Source organism: Homo sapiens, chromosome 1 (assembly GCF_000001405.40).
Source record: "Homo sapiens chromosome 1, GRCh38.p14 Primary Assembly".
NCBI classification, from domain to species: Eukaryota; Metazoa; Chordata; class Mammalia; order Primates; family Hominidae; genus Homo; species Homo sapiens.
Genome location: NC_000001.11, coordinates 57,630,225 through 57,650,912, shown reverse-complemented (window position 1 = coordinate 57,650,912; position 20,688 = coordinate 57,630,225). Strand labels below are relative to the sequence as shown.

General features: G+C 39.6%; 1 protein-coding gene across 4 annotated transcripts in view; it reads left to right on the top strand.

Annotated features, from left to right (window-relative positions):
• The window catches only part of DAB1 (DAB adaptor protein 1), a 1,551,949-nt gene that overhangs the window by 895,814 nt on the left and 635,447 nt on the right, over positions 1-20,688 (top strand). For all 4 annotated transcript variants that reach the window (NM_001379461.1, NM_021080.5, NM_001379462.1 and 1 more), the window contains one exon: positions 1,248-1,321. The gene's annotated coding sequence lies outside the window, so the exon portion shown is untranslated. The remainder of the gene's footprint in view (positions 1-1,247; positions 1,322-20,688) is intronic.

The window sequence follows — 20,688 nt, the reverse complement described above, 5'->3', positions numbered from 1 at the left end:
TCAGGGGAAGCAAAGTTTAATAAGGCATAAAAACGTCATCAGAGGCACTCACAAACAGGGGAGGCAGAGATGGAAATGGATAATTCCAGTGCAGTGTTATCTTCAGAATGGAGGTATTGCTGGGGAATAGGGAGTCCCCAACTAATTGAGAAAAGTGGTACAGGAATTGTGATATTGGAGCTGAAACTTCTGTTTGCTTCTTTACTGTCTGGAAAAATAATGCATGCTCTCTGTAGAAAATTTGGAAAGCATAAAGAAACAAGAGAAAAATAACCTACAATCATACTACAAAGATGACCACTGTTATTTCTGAGGACCAACCCGTGGATGAGCTTAAACTTTATCAACAATTTTGTTATACAAAATATATTTTCTGTATAGTGAACATTTAAAAAATTATTTTTATATTTACATATTATTCTTCTATGCAGAAATACCAATTTTTTTTATTCCTCTATTTGGTGTTTCCCTCTTACAAATAACCCTATGATGAATATCCCTGTACGTAAATACCGGTCTGCATTCATAATTGTTTCCTCAAGAAGGAACCCAGCCAGCCTGGGCAACATGGTGAAATCTTGTCTCTATAAAAAAATGCAAAAATTAGCCAGGCGTGGTGGCACACCTGTAGCCTCAGCTACTCAAGAGACTGAGGCAGGAGGATCACGTAAGCCTAGGAGGTTGAGGCTGCAGTGAGCCATGATTCCGCCACTGCACTCCACACTTCAGTGTGGGCAACAGAGTGACACCTTGTCTCTAAAAAAAAGAAGACGAAGAAGAAGGAATCCGGAAGCTGAATTACAGATTAAAGGGTCTGATCGCTTTTAAGACTCAACATTTTCTCCAGTGCCTGCCTGTTTACTGATCTCAAGGCAAGAGCCCAAGCCCTTTAGAAAGTCAGATGAATTAAAAATGTGGGGAAGTTCTTTAAAAATTCTTAGACTCTTTTGTGTATGTGTAGATATGTATGTATGTGCATATGTATGTATCTCAGATACAAACAGACACACGTATCCTGATTCTCTTCTAAGAGGCATTCTGTGACTACCTCTTGCCTAACACGCACAGTGGTCTGTATTTGTTGACTTTTTCGTCAGTGGTATTTTTATTTTATCCATCTCTCTATTCCCAGTGCCTGGTGTATGGGAGGAAGTTAGTAAATGTTTCTTTACTGAGAGAGAAGAAAAACAAGACCATTAAATAATTAATATTTACTTTTTTAAATATCATGTTTTGTTTGTTTTCAGCACTCAGCAAGACATGGTGGTGAGCCCTGACTCTCAGTCTTCATGATTGAAGAACTCTTTTGTACAACACAAAGGTAAATATTTGAGTCTGGCTGGGTATCGTTGGTACAAGGAAAATCTTTCTCTTTGGGAAAATTTCCCACAAATATCTCTGGGTTCTCTCGAAGTGGTAGCTTTTGTATTTTGTATTCCTTCTTAAAACATATCAGAGGGTTCATGGAGCCTTTGGAATTGGTGCTTCGGGTTGCTTTTCTCTAGTCGGCTTTGTGTTTATGGTTAGAGGAAGAGAATATTGGTTCTCTTTTGTCTTTTCTTTAGGTACCTAGAAAATGTCATCAGGATCCTTAGGTTTTCCTGCCTCTGTTTTAGCCACTTCTAATAGATCATCTCAGATTGGCTTGATTTTCAACAGAACTATGTTAGCTCTCTTTCTTAAATGCACCCCTCTGTCCCACTGCCCATTTTAATATATTTACCAACAGAGGAAACTATTCTCAACTGTGGAAAATAAACTCAAACAATATGTAAGATAAATGCAGAAACATGGAAAACAGACTTGGAGATTTACGAGCATAAAGGGAAAGTACTGTTATTTTGACGTCCTAAACTTTTAAATGATGGCAACCCTGAATTATGTGCTTCATACAGGAGCCAGGAATCCACAATTGAAAACGCCTATTCTTTTGACAAATTAGAAGCATTCATTCCAATATCTATTTCTTGTTTACTGGGGATAATGCTGAATGAATCACAGACTGGTGGATGGATGTCCCTTCCAACACTTTTAATTAGCAGCACTGCCTATTAGGATGAACAGAGCATTGCTCTTCTGCCATAGATTACCCCTAACCCCCCTTAAATGGAACAGAAATCTTATTCTCCACAAGGTAATATTCATCTCTTCTCCAGCCAGACAAGCATAGAAAATTAAACAATGGTCCATTAAAAGCCCAGATAATATATTTATCATTTCCAGTTTATGTGAGTTTGCAAGGCAAATATGAGTGGGAGCTATTTGTTATGGGACCTTGGGGAACAACAGGACTGGAGAAGGAGCGGGGAGGCTGGAGGATCTGAGACTTGTAAAAATTCATTAAAAATATGAGAAGCTTTTGGAGACAGAGGAAATTAATTACTCTGAGGGACTCAAATATCATTACTCATTTAAGTGACCTGGTGAGGAGGCTGAGAAACCTTTTTACTGATGGTTTCTATAGTGGAGGAGGTTGGGAGCTGGGATTCCTCAACTGTCAATTTTTGCATTTCGTTGGTGGCTTATTGACATGTTAAGCTGATTTGCACCCCAGCCTCCTCTAATGAATAGAGTTCAATGAGAAATGGGGTTGGGGTCGGGGGACACTCGCCTCCTCCTTCTGCCCCACCACCACCATAGCATGGCCAGGTTATTTAGATGAGCTTCACCATGTAAGTAACTGCTACACCTAGGGGAAGCCTGTAATTTGCCGCAATAGAGAGAAGAGGCTGATCATTTGATGCTGGACTGAGTTTGATCTTTTATTATTGCCTTTCCATCCACAAAGCTATTCTCTGAGGTAGAGTGAATTTGGGAAGACAAATTAAGGTTTTCTACCTAAGGAGGACTAGGGAGCAGTAGCTTCTGAAAACAGTCATCTTTTCTAGATTGCCTGTCTAATAAATCTCTTTAATGCATTCTGCCTATAGACAGAGGTTGAGAATATATAGATTTGTGATGACTTAGAAGTTTAAAATCAGTAAGCATTGAGAGCAATGGAGTAAAAGCTTTCTCATACATGTGCCTTACCTAGACTCGGAACTTCAATGTTTTAATTTGAGCTCTGCCATTATGCCCCTGTGAGGCCCTATCCAAGTCACCATAGTCCTTTCAGCCTCTGTTGGATGATTTATAAAGCAGAAAAAGTAATATCTATCTTCTGTGATTGTTAAGAAGATCAATGTGCCAAAAGACCTTTGAAGGATGGAAATAACATCTGGGTATGTGGTATCCTTATCACCTATTGATATATTCTGTTTTAAAAGTATTCATCCTTAAACATTGAGGAAACTCAGTGGTCTGTGTTCCTGCTTGGGTTAAGGTTAAGGGGCTTGGCAGTATCCTCCTGGCTTGGTCAGTTAGGAATGGTGAATCAGCAAGCCAAAGAAGGAAGAGCAAATGTTGACCTGAAGACTTCTCTAGGGGGACGTTATTTACATGGTTTGGGGAAAAAGAAAATAAGTAAGCAAAGCCTACCCTTGGAGAAGGTGGGAGCCCTGGATGTTCGCCTCCGGGGGAGTCCCAAGGAGTTACCACCTCTCCAACTGGAAAACATCCTATGCTTTTGAAATGGAGACACATCATTTATTTGAAGGTGCATCATTGATAAAATCATGCATTGCTGAAGGTAGTGGAGGCGATGTTTGAAGGTTATTCATCTATTCCTAGAAAGAGATGATGAAGTAAACTAGGGCAGTGTCAGTGGAGATAAAGAAGAAACGAGAGCTTTGAGAGTCCTTTGCAAGGAAGGACTTCCAGGCTTCAGTAGCCCTGGCAACAAGCATGTAGAATATGGAGCAGTACAGTGACTCCACACTTCAGAGTGTTCCCTAGGTGCTTGTACTGTCATTAATGTAAATGTCAAAAAGAGAAGGATACGATCCCTCCCCACAAGGAGCTCAATGAGGTAAACTATAATCATATAGAGCAGACAGAAATAAGCCCAGAAGAGCAATGCTGTGCTGAGAAAGGGTGCTACTTGAGCTGGACCTCAGTGATGAGCAGTCTGTGCTGGGTGAGAAGGGTTCGAGGCAGACATTCCACAGAAGACCAGCTGCATACAGCAGCACTGAGCCACAGTTGGTTAGAGAGAAACACACTCGGCCTGTTACATTTCTTCAGCAACCAGAGTATTTTGGGGTTTTGTTTTCTGTTTTGTTTTTTGAGATGGGGTCTCGCTCTGTCACCCATGCTGGGGTGCAGTGGCATGATCTTGGCTCACTGCAGCCTCAACCTCCTGGGCTCAAGCGATCCTCCCATCTCAGCCTCCCAGGTAGCTAGGACTACAGGCACACACCACCATACCCAGCTAATTTTTTCATTTGTTTGTAGAGATAGGATCTTGCTATGTGGCTCAGGGTAATCTTGAACTCTTGGGTTCAAGCAATTCTCTCATCTCAGTCTCCCAAAGTGCTGGAATTACAGGCATTAGCCACCATGCCCAGCAGCAACCAGAGTTTTGTGCACCAGCATGTACTCAGTGACTTTCAAAGGCTTTCATGCTATTGTTGTGTCCTAGACGTGGTAGACTACCTGCCTGTCCTCATTAGCCACCCTTGTAGTAGCCCAGGGACTTGTCCTGAGAAGGTTCAGAATGCATTCTGAATAGTTGCTAAAGCAACTGTCCCCATTCTTTAGTGTTCTTTTGTGGGTTTTTTGTTTTGTTTTGTTTGCCATTACCTTTTAGAATTACTTGAAAGTCTTCAATTGGCATAATTGAGCTATTGGTTATTCATTTATTGTATTGTTTTAATTTGTCCATCTTTATATTCATCTGCAGCCATCATAGGTGAGATAGTATGCCTTTCCCATTTGGATAATAAGATGGTAACAAGACAGAAAAATGTTTTCTTGCTATTTTTTCTTTTCTCCCCCTTCTTCAGTTCTTCCCTTTAGTGCCTCCTATATGACTCTTTGTTTTTATTTCCTCAGATTCCATCTACTTACCCTACTTTTCTTCTTCATTCTTATAGAATCACACATTTTCCAATTTGAAAGAAAGTAGGAGATTCTAGATATCCAGGCCCCAAGTGTAAAAACTTCGAGAGGGCTCTTAACCAGGTGGTAATTTCCCCTTTCTTCTCTGTTATTTTTGGTGGCAGTGGTGGTGTTGCTTTTCAAAGCTGAATGTCTTAGATTCAAATCTCTGCCCCAAGATATAACAGCTGTCTGACATTGAGCAAATCAATCCCTTTAAGCTTCAGTTTCACATCAGGAAAATGAAGGTAGCAATAATACTTTCCATAGAGTATTGTTGTAAGACTTAAACAAAATAATGCATGTGAAAGGGTCTGGAACATTACACAGTCTTGACTTATAATGTCAGCAGTTATTACTGCTCATAATAATAAACATATACCATTGTAAACCCTTAAAATGCAAAAGGCAGATATGTTGATCTTTTTGACAACAAGGAAGGAAGAAGCTGAAGAGACTCTTTCCTACTCTATAGCTGGTCTTATAAAATGAAAATTCCTAGGGGCAGAGAAACAGACAGCAGCTAAATCCCTGGGTTCACAAGGAGCCCTCCCTGGCTGGAAAATGACCTCACTGCTAAACAGTCAGAAGGCCTGCTAGGTTTCTAAGCTTCTCCTGGGCCTCCAAAGAGCATCTCAGTCAGCCCTCTGCCAGCTACAATATTCCTTCCTGGATAGCATGGTAGCTTTGTAATATACCAACGTGACTAGATTGAATTACATTACCGAGAATCTGGTTTCTTGGCATGTTTTCAGTTAGGTAGGCCACAGGGAGACTTGGGAGGTATAGGAGGATAGAAGGGAGGTGGCAGCCATCCTGTAACTCACATGCTGTTGCTCATCTGTGGATCCAGATGAACCTTGGCAGCATGAAGCAGCATGTGGGCCTGTAACTGCTTTCCCCCTCCCTGGATTCTCCTTCAGCTTCTCCATGTCCATGTCCAGATGTGTGTGCTTAACTCTTTGACAAAGGACTCTGGCTTCTACAGGTCACCCACATCATCAAGCTGCAAAGCAGTAAAAACCAAGGTTCTCATTCATTCTCATGGGATTTCAGCTCATGCTTCCGGATTCTGAACTGCTCTCAATTTCCCCTTTAAAATCCATTTTCCCTTCCTAATGGCTTGCCCAGTGGGCTTCAAGCTCTAGCATCAGATGTGAGACAACAGACTTACAGACTGCTTAACCAGCACCCACAATTGCGTAAGGCCAAATCTCTCTAGTAAATAAATAATGCATATATAGTTATAAAATATATATATATTATATAATGTATTCATTTTTTCATTAGTGAAACAGAACCAACCACTAAGAGATTATATATGTGTGTATGTACATATGTGGGTATGTGTGTATATATGTATGTGTGTATATATATATGCATACACACACATATGTGCATGCACATATACATCATCTACAAGTGCTTGTTTCTGCTTCTCTGGTTGCACCCTGATTGATTCAGACAGGCATGAGCTTTTTATAATAGGGAATTCCCTACTTCATAAGGCAGCACATTTATTTTCTAGCTTCCCTCTATGACTCCCTTTTCTGTAATACAGCAAAAAAGAAATTAACCTTGTAATCCAAAAATGTTTTTCAGTCCTGATATAGCCTACTTTCTCTTCTGGACTTGTGCGCCTCTCAGCCCTAAAGCCTCTCACCACCTCATCGCCACAGACCTCACCCATTCCAGTTCATTCTGTCTAGTTTCTCGCCTCTTTTGAACTTCCAAATCAGGCTCCTCATGAAATTAACCCCGTAAGTAGTACTATGCTAGAGAGGCTTTTCTGACCATTCCATTTCACCAGGCTTGTTTCCTTCTCATCCTCCCTGTGCCTTTCGAAGATAATGCCTTGATTCTGAATGTTGACAAGGCACAAGGTGATATAGAGGGAAGAGAGGAAATCACAGAATTTAGAATCAGAAGACCCTCGTTTGTGTCTGGTCACCACAGAGTGCTGACTGCATCTGTTTATTTAGCTTCTGCGGGCCTCAGTTTTCTCAGTTGTGAAATGGACACACTAATTGCTGACCAGCCTATTTTCAGACGTTCTCTGAGTCCACTGAAACCTGAGCAGTCCTAGATGTTTGAGGTCCTTCAAACTTGAATCCGACTACCCAGTCTCGGATTAGCCCAAGCCTAGGTTAGGGAAGTTCCAATTGTGACCAAGTGTTGAGCTTGAGAATTCGTAATGGAGTGGCAAATCAGGACACATTTTTTAATACAAATAAATATCTTGAAGTAGTAATAACCTAAATTTGTATACTATTCAGGATCTACCATAGTAAATCTTTTCCTAAATTGTTTCTTGAAGAAGCTGAAGAAATGAAATATATAGTGGTTCCTTTTGAATAAGAGTGTATGTAAAAAGTCCTTATATATCAAAAATGTCACAAAGGGAAAACACTGAATATGAAAGAATAACTAAACATTCTCTTGCTCAAACCAGTTAATAACTAACATAAAAGCAAATGCAAAAATAGACATGATAGAACAATCTATTATAAATCTGACTACAAATAAGGAACTAAAAGCTATAAGTAAGAGACTTTTAAAAAAGAACACAGCCAAGTGATGAAATCAAGTATATACAAATGAAACTGTGTGAATGAATCATATAACTATCCATTCAAAGACAAGAGCCCCTGACCTCTCAAGCAGAGGGTATCCATGCAAAGAGAAGAGGTAACTGTAGGAACATCTTATTCTTAAAGTGCAACATAGGCAGCCAATTGTGAGTGCACAAACCTGGCTAGAAAAATCTCCGTAATTGGCAGGTATATTGCCCCCAGACAGAGATGTGGAGGATAAAAGGTGACAGCTGAAATCCGCATTGATGACCAAGCCTCACTCTGCTCCCCTGCACACATTTATATGTGAACAATAGCCAAAGTTGAAGAAATAGCTGGCTGTTCCCCCATTGTCCTCCCTCAACACACATCCTGCCTATCTTACAAGCATCAAACAAGTGCCGTAGTCCAGCATCTGGCACATGGTAGGTGCTCAAGTAATATTTGTGTGAGGTGCACAGGTATTAATGAATTGCCAAAGAACTCATGGAGAAAGTCTAGAGATATTAGCAGACATTATGACAGCATCTGGGACAAAATGAAATGGAACAAAAAATGCCCCGGAGAGTTATTCTCTGCTAAAGATTTAACACGCTGATGTTCATAACACCTCACCTGCCAAAGGTATCCTATTCAAAATGAAGGAAGCAACAGAACAGGATTAAATTGGCACAGCTGGAGAAGGTCTGCCTGTGTGAAGAGCTGAATGTTATCTCCAGGCAACGGATGGAGTTGTAACGTGAATATTTTTATTTTTAGCGTTGGGGAGAAAATGAATTTGATCCAAGAGACACCTAGAGTTGATAAGAGAAGATTGGGGCTTGAGGGAGGGAGGGGATATATAATAAGCTCAGATCAAGAAGGCTGAGCAAAGAGGTAGAGTAGAGGGGAGACATATGGAAGTGGATCTTGTTATTACAGAGTGGTGCCAGAATGTGTAATGAGGTGCTCCAGGGCACCTGGTCAACACAGGCTCCCTACTGCTTGGGACAAGCAACATCAGAGTAGGCACCTAAGGGCTAGGGAATCAGCTTCCAATGGATAAAGAATAGCAGCAATCCTCCTGTATGGAATGTCTGTGTCCTTTGGGGAACAGGAGATTCTTTATTAAATCACTTAACATGGTATATTATATTTTTCTGTTTGCATTTTTCTCTCACTCTTTACATTTTCCTATGGTACTGAGACATGTTTTTTCATTGTTTCTTGTTTGTTTTGCATCTTTATTTCTAGCACCTAGCTCTGAGAACTTAAAAAAAAAATCACTGAGCACTTCCATATGCTAATGATAATAAATCAGACCCTGGACATGTGAGAAAGCTATTGTTATCTGCGTTTGTAAGTAAAGAGGCAGAAGATCAGAGACGTGAAGCAGTTTGCTTATAGTCACACAACTGGTGAATTGCTGAACTAGGACTCTAACCCAGACCTATGTGGATGAAATTTGTGAACTGCTCACAACTTCCCTAAATCTCGGAGCCTGTAATTGAGGAGGTGATCTCTAAGTTCTTGAGCACTTCTTGGAAGGAAGGAGGAAGAGAAGGATACAGGATGAGAGGATAGATAATGAGACTGCAAAGGAAAAGATTTGAATAGCAATAACCAGACTTGGAGAGTATCTGTTCTGGACAGATCATAGACAAATAAGCCTGACACAAATATTATTCAGAGATTACGCTGGGGTTACTGAATTATAAAAAAAAAAGGAACCAGCACTTTGGGAGACTGAGGTGGGCAGATCACATGATCAGAAGATCGAGACCATCCTGGCCAACACGATGAAACCCTGTCTCTACTAAAAGTACAAAAAAATTAGCCAGGCGTAGTGGCGGGCGTCTGTAGTCCCAGCTACTCGGGAGGCTGAGGCAGGAGAATGGCGTAAACCCCAGCAGCGGAGCTTGCAGTGAGCGGAGATTATACCACTGCACTCTAGCCTGGGCGACAGAGCGAGACTCCGTCTCAAAAAAAAAAAAAAAAAAAAAACCAACAAAAAAAAGAGGGAACTGGGCAAGAGTTTCACCAGGGAACATTGGGTTTTATCCATGAAGAAACCAGGAATTTAGACTAAGTCAGGTATATAAGAATATAAGATCAAAGTTGGAAAGGGAGTGAGGTGGAGATTTGTATGAAGAAGAAAGCTCTGCTGGTTGGCTTCCCTGCAATGAGCTAACCCCAACTCACCCATCCCACCTCCACTCCCAGGCCTCAATTTGCTCATTTTGTCCTTATAGCAACCTTAGAGGAAATAATTATTATGTTTTAAGGATGAGGAAATTAAGACACTAATTAACTCACTAATGCCAGGAGTGAGTTTGAATGCAGTCACTAGGACTAAGTTACTCAGACACCAAACATTGTGGGAGTGTCCAATTTGCTGCAAGATGATTCTTCCAAAGGACATTTCTATAGGAATTTCATCTAACAGCAGCCTTCATTTAAGCCAAGCATGTCTCCTTCTATAAGTGCATTCAGGAAAAATAAAAAGACTTTCCTGAGCTTGCATGCCCCTAGATTCTTTACTTCTCTGCAGCTCTAATGTTACTCTAATGCTGATGTCTTTATTTATCAGTGTCTCAGCTGGGGACACTAGCTCTGGGTGTCCCATTGAAGGTAATGTTCCCAGATGGCTCACAAATTAGGTTCAATAAAATGTAGCCATTCTTCTCTTTTAGTGAGTCCTTAGTGCTGAACCCATTTAACTTACCTAATACCCTATTTGAGTTGTTATATCCTAAACATGGATTGATTAGAACAAGGGAATAGGCTCTCAGGGGAGTGCAATAAGCTTTTTGAAGTGGATAGAGGCCCTGCTTTGAAGCTGAAAATCCAACTTAAGGCTCCCTTTGCCACTTGTTAGCTGTGTGGGCTTGGTTTCTTGTGTCACCCTCCTCATTCATTTAGCCTCAATTCCCTTACCTGTAAAAAAAGGAAATTAGAAGTGGTTGTGAAGAGTAAGGGTGATATATATGTGAAAATACTTGGTAAAGTATAAATGGTTATAGAAACATAAGTTAATACAATACATTTAGACATAAAACATTAATAGGAGTGCACCACCTCACTGGAAACATACCCCTCAACTAGAAATTTTAACAAAAAAAGGAAGCAGGAAATTTTAGAAATCTAAGGAACCTCAGAGATGATCTATTTCAACTTCCTTTTTGGCAGATGAGGAATTTGAGGCCCCAAGTGATGAGGAACTCACATTAAGTCACATAGCAAATGACACAGAGAGCAAACCTGTAATACACGAGACCTGCATCTGCACTCATCATCTTCTGCCCACAGCCTCTACTTCCTCTCGTGCCATGCTTCTGCAGACTGTGGCCTTTGATGGAACCGCTGAAACCAAGAGCTTCCAACTTCACATGCCAGAGAGAAAGCCCATGCCTCTAAAGCCTGACTATTCCAAGTATTTTGGGGACCTTTCTTTTATCTGCAATTAGAAGGATGAATATTACAATTTTAGAAAGATGGCCTATCTAATGTGATTTCCGTGGGACTCTGTATGGTTTGTGTTTTCAGCACTGAAGGGAGTATCTAGAGCACTTGTTGATTCTGTCTCTGAAACAGACTCAAACATTTTCTTCCCTCTCCAGTACATTAGACTGTAAGCACCCTGAGGGCAGCGACCTTGTCTGTAATCTCTTTCACAAGAAGACACCCCCAGTGCTGAGCATGATGCACAGTGCATGCTCAGTATTTGTTGAATGAAAGAGGGCATACCTGCTGCCTTTGCCTTAGTTCATGGACACATTATTTTCTCAAGAGCTTCTTAAAGTGCTCCAACTCTAGTCTCACTCCTTCCAAACCCTCCTTCACACTGCCCTCTGAGTATCCTGCTCAATTACAAATATGAAAAGGCGACTCCTCTGCTTAAAACTTTTCAGTGGCTCCCCTTTGCCTACTGGAACTGGAAAAGTTCCTTATTGGAGACTTTAAAGTTATTTACTAAAGTTATTTATAAAGAACTTTATAAAGTTATTTACTAAAGTTCTTTATAAAGAACTTTATAAAGTTATTTACTAAAGTTCTTTTTATAAAGAACTTTATAAAGTTATTTACTAAAGTTCTTTATAAAGAACTTTATAAAGTTACTTACTAAAGTTCTTTACTAAAGTTCTTTATGAAGAACTTTATAAAGTTATTTACTAAAGTTCTTTATGAAGAACTTTATAAAGTTATTTACTAAAGTTCTTTATGAAGAACTTTATAAAGTTATTTACTAAAGTTCTTTATGAAGAACTTTATAAAGTTATTTACTAAAGTTCTTTATGAAGAACTTTATAAAGTTATTTACTAAAGTTCTTTATGAAGAACTTTATAAAGTTATTTACTAAAGTTCTTTATGAAGAACTTTATAAAGTTATTTACTAAAGTTCTTTATGAAGAACTTTATAAAGTTATTTACTAAAGTTCTTTATGAAGAACTTTATAAAGTTCCTGGCCTTATCTGTAGAACCCTCTCTTTCCATCCCCACCTTTCAACACACACACACATACACACCCCCAACACTCACACCCTTGTATTTGTTTCCAGCCACACTGGATTACCTATGACTGTTACAAGAAAAGATCCAACTCTTTCCATACCATTTCTTCTACCTGGAATGCCCTTTCCTGCCTTTGCCATTTGGTGAACTACGTATTCTTCAAGCCCCTTCCCTCACTGCTTTGGTGTCTTCTGAAGTCCAGCTCATTAGGGGGACTCCTCAGGAACATGAACTGTGTCTTTGATCTCCATGGATTAGGAAATAGGTGATAATCCTGAGCATTAGACCTTTCTCTTCAGCAATACAGATTATTGAGATGAGGTTAAAACTAAGCTGAGTTATGATGATGACAGCATTTGTGCTAGATCTAAGCACTAGGAGAAGGATGGTTTGCATGGTAGGATCTGGGGAAGAGCAGGGACTTGCACACCATTGCAGATGACATCATTCTCAGCAGATCTCAGCCTTATCATCTGACACTCCTCGCCCAGAACTGCTGAAAACATGTACTTCATAAAATGAAAAAATATATAAACACTGATTTTTATCTCCTCATTTAACTCTAATAAAGTTATCACACATGATTTATTGTTTTTATTAATGAAAAGTAACAATATGCCATGTTTTTGTAAGCCCCTTTTTGATTATTTATGTATTCATGAATTTTAATGTTAAAACTAATCTAAACATATTCTGTGGAGTTTAGAAATTAGCAAAAAAACAAAAAACAAAAAATAACCATCATCCCTCATTTGGGTATATTTATTTTTTCTAGTCTTTACATTATGCATTTTTATATTTCATTTTATATGACTAGTATCAGATTATAAATACAAATATAAAGCTTAGTTGGTTTTACCCATGCCAAAAGTGTTTCTCTATGCTGCCAAATACTCTCAGTAACAATCATTGTAAACAACTGAATAATATTCCATTGAGTAAATGCTCCATTATTAAGTCGATCCACTATAATTCATTTAGTCATTTCCCTATTGTTGAAGACTAGTTTCCTTGCAAGTTTTTATCTTTATCAGTTATATATGAGGACACCTTCATAACACAGAGATATTCTACCCTTTGTTGTTATTGCCTTAAGATGTCTCTGATGCCTATTACTAATTTGTAAGCACTCCCCTTACTAAAAACATTTAATGCCCTCTTACATTCTACCTCCTGTCCAAGATTGAAGTTGATTCATGCTCCCTAATACAGAATCTGAAGATCTTCATACCCTGGCCCTTGTCTAAGTCTCAGCATCCTGTCTTTATCAACCCTGCCTCCCATGTTACCCTCACCTGCCGACCTGCCTTGGTTTTGATACACATACCAAGCTGTGCTTTCAGCCCTGTGTTGGTGCTCAGACTGCATGATGACCTCAGCTACCCCTACACACACCTGCATATACCCACCACTCTGCTCAAACCCAGATCAGCTGGTGCCTCCTCTGGGAATTCTTTGCTGGCTCCTACAGGATGGATTAGGCATCTTTCCCCTGGGATTCCACGATTCCCTGTGCATATCTTTATCATTACGCTGACAACACTCCATTGAAAATATATGACTCACTGAAGCTGGGAATGCATTTTTTTCATTATTTCTCCAGTTGCTTGCACAATTCCCAACACATAGTTAAGTATGACATAGGTGATAAACCTATCAATAGATTTGGCAACTGAGATATTCCTGTAATATGTTATGGGAAGAGCAAAATATGTAAAGTATTAGTAGATAGTAAGTATCTCATCTTATCCCATTTTTAAATGGTATGAAATATTAGTAAAGCACAAAGAAGAAAAATATTGTGAGATTGCTATAAAAAAAGCCCCTGCATACTGAAGAATACGCAAAGACCCCAATTAATTTATGTACAGCTTTACAAATATGTAACTTTTTTAATTTTTATGACCCTGTCTCATTAACTACCATCCATATGTTAATGATATCCATATTTATCCATATTTATATTATCCATCCATATTTCTCTCCAATCCTATCACTTCCCTGAACTTAGAACTCCATCTGTATCCTCAAACATCTCTATTGGATGTCTGCTGGCAACTCAAACTTCAAGAAAATTCAGAACTAAACTCTCGATTATCTGCCCCAGCTATTCCTTCCATAACCTTTTCCATCTTAGTGAATGGCAACTCTGGTATTCCAGGTGCTCAGTCAGAACCTTGGAGCCACCTTTGACCCACCCTGCTCTTTTGTACACCCCATATCTCACCCACGAGCACATTTTGTTGGCTCTACCTGCAAACTGCATTCAGGATTCAGCCAGTCTTTACCACCTTCTCTACTGCTAGTACCCTGGTCAAAGCCACTATCGCTGTTCATCTGGATTATTGCAAGCACCTCCTGACTGATTGTTTAGCTTTCAACTTTGTGCCCATATTTTACACACAAGAGTATCCTTTCAAATGTCCTCCTGTCCTTGTTTAAAGCCCTCTAATGACAACCCATCTTGAAGTCCTAGCATGGTGTACCAGTCTGCTTGGGCTGCCATAACAAAATACCACAGACTGGGAGGCTTAAACAACAGACATTTATTTTCTCACAATTCTGGAAGCAAGAGGTTCAAGATCAAAGTGTCAGCAAATTTGGTTTCTGGTGAGACCTCTCTTCCTGAATTGTAGGGAGCCGCCTTCTCACTGTAGCTTCACGTGGCCTTTCCTCTGTGCACACTCGGGTAGAGAATGGGAGAGAGTGCTCCAGTGTTTTCATTTTCTTATAAGGGCACCAGTTTTTTGTTTTTGTTTTTTTTTTTTTTTTTGAGACCGTGTCTCGCTCTTTTGCCCAGGCCGGACTGCTGTGGCGCTATCTTGGCTCACTGCAATCTCCACCTCCCAGGTTCACGCCATTCTCCTGCCTCAGCCTCCTGAGTAGTTGGGACTACAGGCGCCCGCCACCGCGCCTGGCTAATTTTTGTTGTATTTTTAGTAGTGACGGGGTTTCACCGTATTAGCCAGGATGGTCTCGATCTCCTGACCTCGTGATCTGCCCGCCTTGGCCTCCCAAGGTGCTGGGATTACAGGCGTGAGCCACCGCACCTGGCCAAGGACACCAGTTTTATTAGATTAGAGCAGCGGTCCCCAACCATTTTGGCACCAGGGACTGGTTTTGTGGAAGACAAATTTTCCATGGACCAGGGTCAGGGGGATGGTCTCAGGATGATTCAAGTGCATTACAATTATTGTGTAATTTATTTATATTATTATTACATTGTAATATATAATGAAATAATTATACAACTCACCATAATGTAGAATCAGTGGGAGCCCTGAGCTTGTTTTCCTGCAACTGAGGGTGTGATGGGAGACAGTGACAGATCATTAGGCAGTAGAGTCTCATAAGGAGCACGCAACCTAGATCCCTGGCATGCTCAATTCACATTCCCATGAGAGGGTTCACACTCCCATGAGAACCTAAGGCCATAGCTGATCTGATAGGAGGCGGAGCTCAGGCAGTAACGCAAGCGATGGGGAGTGGCTGTAAATACAGATGAAGCTTCGCTTGCTTGCCTGCCGCTCACCTCCTACTATGCGGCTCAGTGCCTAACACACCATGAACTGGTACCAGTCCATGGCCCGGGGTTTGGGGACCCCTGGATTAGAGTACTGCCCTTATTACCTCATTTAACCTTAATTATCTCCCTAATGACTCTATCTCCAAGTAACATCATGTTTGCATTGGGGCTTAAACTTGTGAATTTGGGGAGACACATTTCAGTTCATAACTGCAAATTCCCATGTGATTCATGGCACACTGTCCTCACCTCCGTTAGCTGCTATAGCCAGCCTGGGTCCCCTGTACCTCCATGAATACTCCTAACATGCTCCCATCTCAGAGATGCTGAACTGGCCGTCCCTCTGCCTAGACTGTCCTCCAGACATCTGCATGGCTTACCCCTTATAACCTTCAGATCTCTGCTCAAATGCCATTTATTGGCTATTTCTTCTTTGACCACCTTATATAAAATAGTATACCCTCCCCACCCCATTGCCATACCTCTATAATCTGTACCTTGTTTAACTTTTCTCTAAAACATTTTCACCACCATTATATATTTATTTGTTTATTCCTCTTTTCCTCCTCCATTCCAGTGGGAGAAGTATAATCTCCTGAATACAAGATTTTCATTATACCTTTTTGTTTACAAGGATATTGCTGGCACCTAAAACAGTCCTGGCACACAAAAGATGCACAATAAACATTTGTTGAATGAATGAAGTTTCTTTCTTTTTATTATCTTATTTCAGCTTCGAACCAAATCTGGAAGAGGGTAAGGTAGATATTTGTTCTATTTTTACACGTTAGGAAAACTAGTACTTATAAAGGTTAGGTTTCATATCTGCAGTGATCATTTCATTTGTTTGGTGCTTACTATTGCCAAGGGATATGCATACTATTATATTTGCTTTCATTTAATCCTTAGAGTAATCCTAAAAGATTATATATTATTATCTCTATTTTAACACAATTACTTACACCTTAGAAAGGTTCAATAACTTGCCCAAGGGAGCCACTATTAAGTGACAGCCCAGATCAGAACCCTCATCTGACTTTAAAGAGCTTGTTTTTATCTGCTATTATAGCTCACGTTCTTTCAGCACAATGCTGTGTGCCAGGTACTATGCTAAATCTTACATTATTGTCTTCATTTTGAAGATGAGATCACTGAGGCTATGAGATGTTAACTCTTCAAGGTCACACCAAGCTGACCTTAAAGTGTGTCAAATGCTAGCTGTCTTCTTTAAAGAGGCAGGTCTTGAACCTAGGATTTCTTACTTTCAGTTTCCCTGCCTTTCTGCACTAACTGCCTAGATTAACCCCATGGTCCAGGATGCGCCAGCCATGGCACACTGTAAGTTTATATTTGCAATTCTGGTCTCAATTGACTCTTGTGAGACAGAAAATTTTGACTGATAAAGCAACTTAGTATGACCATTAAAAATATTGACAAACGTTATATGACCTAATCATTTTTAAAAGATTGTTCAGTCACTCCCAGGTTAGGTCTGCTTCTTTGTACCTATTCTCTTTCTTCTTAGATACCTGGCAAAATGTACGTGTGTTTCACTCCGGCTCTCTCCCTTCCTCTAATGGCATCACTTAGGTTCAATAGTGGAGAAGGGTAATTGAATCTATTTTTCAGACTTTCATTGGTGGGCTCTCTTCTGGGCACATATTATTAGAATTGTGGGAATCAGACATTTCTTTAAAGTAGAGATTGTTGGGCTGAGCCAAGGAGATTATTAAAAGACATTACAATGCCAGCCTTAGAAAATATATGGGACACCTAGATTCCCCACTCTGTCCCTCCCTTCCCAGCACAAAGCTTATTCAAACACCTTTCCAGGAACAGCATTCTTCCTTCAGCCGGTCCTCAGCAGCCTGCCCTTGCAATCCACTTGCCCACCACACATTGGGCCAATGATTCTCAGTGTGGTCCCAGGTTCAGCAGCATCAGCATCACCAGGGAACTTACTAGAAATAAAGAAACTCAGGCTTCATCCCGAAGCCACTTAATCAGAAACCCTGGGAGTGAGGCCAGCCCTCTGTTTTCACAAGCCCTTCTGGTTATTCAGATGCGTGCTCAAGTTTGAGAATTCCTGAATGAGAAGTGTCATCTCGGCCCCCTCCTCTCCTCACAGCCTTGGCCCTGTAGTGTTAGACAACAGGACACAGCTTCTCCCGATCTTGCTCTTCCATCAAGCCACAACTAAAGTGACAGAGAGCTCTACTCAGGGGCTCAGATCCTGACATATTTGGTACATAGCTTTGAGCCTGATTTAGAGAACAATATTCTTAACTGTAAAACATATGGAAAAGCCATGTTTACTGAATACTTACTGTCTGCTTTAGAAAAATCATATTACTAACCTTTCCCATTTTGATCATATCTTTGGTCTTATCTAATACAGCATAATAAGAACTACTGTTTAATCTAGTACATTCTATTTGCTTTAAATTTAAAAGAAAAGTATCCTTATGATCCATTTAAAACACATAGTACTACAACTCCTGTCAGAGAATAACAATTCCTTACTTCCTATATACCCACCACTCTGAAACTTTTATTATTTTAACATTTTCTTCTGTTATTTTACTCCATTCTAAATAACACACTTACATTGCTATTTTTTGATTTGTCAGTTTCAGGTGTTATCTCTTGACTTCCTCTTACCATGAGTGAGAATTCCATTCTCCTGAGTTTCCCTTCTCCTCACAACTCTCACACAATACTCCTCCCCACTGTTTCAACTCCACCCCAACCTTCCTCTGTCTGTGTCTGCCTGGTGCTGAATTTCTTCAGTGAAATTGTGAATTTATTGATGGCATCCAACCCCATCTGCATCCTGTCTTAGCGTTTTAGCTTCCTCTACCACGCTAGTCACCTACCACTTTCCTCTCTGCTTCTAGTCTCATAGAGTACTGATACTGACACCTTTCATCCGCTGTGGCTGATCCCAATTTCATGTTAAACTGGAAGTCCACTCATGATAAACACACACCAAATTTCACACAAACGCTATTAAAGAAAAGATTTATTTTTCTAATAACACTTTAATTTAGAAACATCTGGTAATAATGTATACTAGAGTAGTACTCCACTAATAATTTATACTAGAGTAGAATTTGCACCAAGTTCCACGCCTATGCAGCACTACGTTGTAGTAATCCTCTTACACATGTGGAATTATTATAAGAGTCCTTTGGAGACTCTCTAATATTTAATTCTTAAAGTAGTTCTGCAATTTAGGTATACCAGGTCCCTGGCCTCCCTAAATCCCATATACCTCAGACAATATCTTCTACTCCCTGTAGACTGTTCCCTCAGAAGCCTACAATGGAATATTTGTTGTGCCTGATATAACCCTTTCCCACTTCCCTGATCAATAACTCTGATATGTCTCCTGATGCTAATACCCAATTACCATCTATCAGAGGGTCCTGTGTCCTGGTAACATGGAGCAGGGAAGGTACCAGCCTTAAGTGAGAAAAAAGCCAGTCTTCTTTGCCTCTGCTGATTTGGGCTACTGACCCCTCCTTTGGGTCCTGGTACATTTCCCTGCTGAATGTCAGGTTACTCTCAGTTTGCTAACTCCATTTTAGTGATTGCAGTGCTGCGGCAAGGTAACAATTCTGTTATTTCAATTTTTATTTTACATACTATCAGTATTTTATTTTGAAAGTACACAAAATTTATGAAGTAAAAGGCTCAAAGAAACAAAGCTATTTAATGTACTTCAAATACAAAAACATATAGATACTATAAACATCAGGGACATTTTACAAAATGTAAACATAACTGTCATATAAATTATTTGTAGATGTAAATCACTAAGTTAAATATTCAAACCATAAACTAAATAGCATATAAACTAGAAAAATGCACTTAATTATGGAAATTGAAAATGAAAATGTTACTTGCTCTTTTTAAAATGTGCTAATTAAAAAATGAAATGAGTCAAGTGACATCAATGATTTGCAAATATATTTTTATGCAAGCTTTACTTGCTGCTGAAAAAGCTTTTCTGGTGATTTTGTGAATAGTCAGAAGAATGGTGAAGAGACACTTAAGAGCTAACCCTAAATATTTTCCTCTGAATTTCATCTTTAAATAACTTTATTTCTTATTTGATAATTTTGAGTTTTTGTTTGAACAACCCTTCCTTCCATGACCATCCCAATAAAGACTATACACAGGTTTTGTATTGAGAAGGAGCTATGTTTCCTGCCCACCCCCACCAAAGAAAATATATTTGATAAGTCTACATCTTCTGTATTTTTATCATGTGTAGTTGGTGGCTCTGATGCACAAGTCCCTGTATCCATTTCCATATTGTCACATTCATATTCTGTTTTCTCAGAAATTTTTTGAACTGCAGTAATAATTATTCTTTCAACAGGAGCTTTGCAGGACCATAATATGGTTGCTTATTACAATTCATGAAGGTCTGGACATGTTTAGACTTGTAGACTTTGTATCAGTTTGTCTTTTCACATAATTTGAATAATTAAATTGTTGATCTTTCTCTACAGATATTAATACCTACAATTTTGGACTTAAAAATAATGAAAATAGCATACCAACAAATCCGTGGATATTTCAGTGGTAAAATAGCAGAGTATATTTTAATTCCACAATTTGGTCATCACCCCTCCTTCCTCATCACGTGGGGTGCCCAGGATGCTTTGAGGCCAGGACTTCCTTTTATTAAATGGTGCTCAGTTAAGTGAAGTAATTAGCTTGGGGTCATGTGGCTAGCAAGTGTCAGCATTAAGATTTGAACTCAGTTCTTTGGATTCTAAAAACAGAGTAACTTTTGCTATCTCTTAGTAGATAACCCTACCCTTTTATATAAATAGACCCCATGTTGTCTACCCTTAGGGTGAAACAAATAACTAACATTTTTTTCTCGCAGAAATAATCACTTAGTGTAGCTTTAAGAGACAATTTTCCCGAGGTGAGGGTTATCGAACACTAGAGTGGACTCTTGCAGCAAGTTATAACATTTCTTTTTTCATCATTCTTAAAAATAATCGACATGAGGAGTTTTAAAATTTGCACAGGTTCCAGATGACCTCTCAAGATCTCCTTCCAGCTGTGATTCTTTAGGTCTGTGAAAACTTAAGACAAT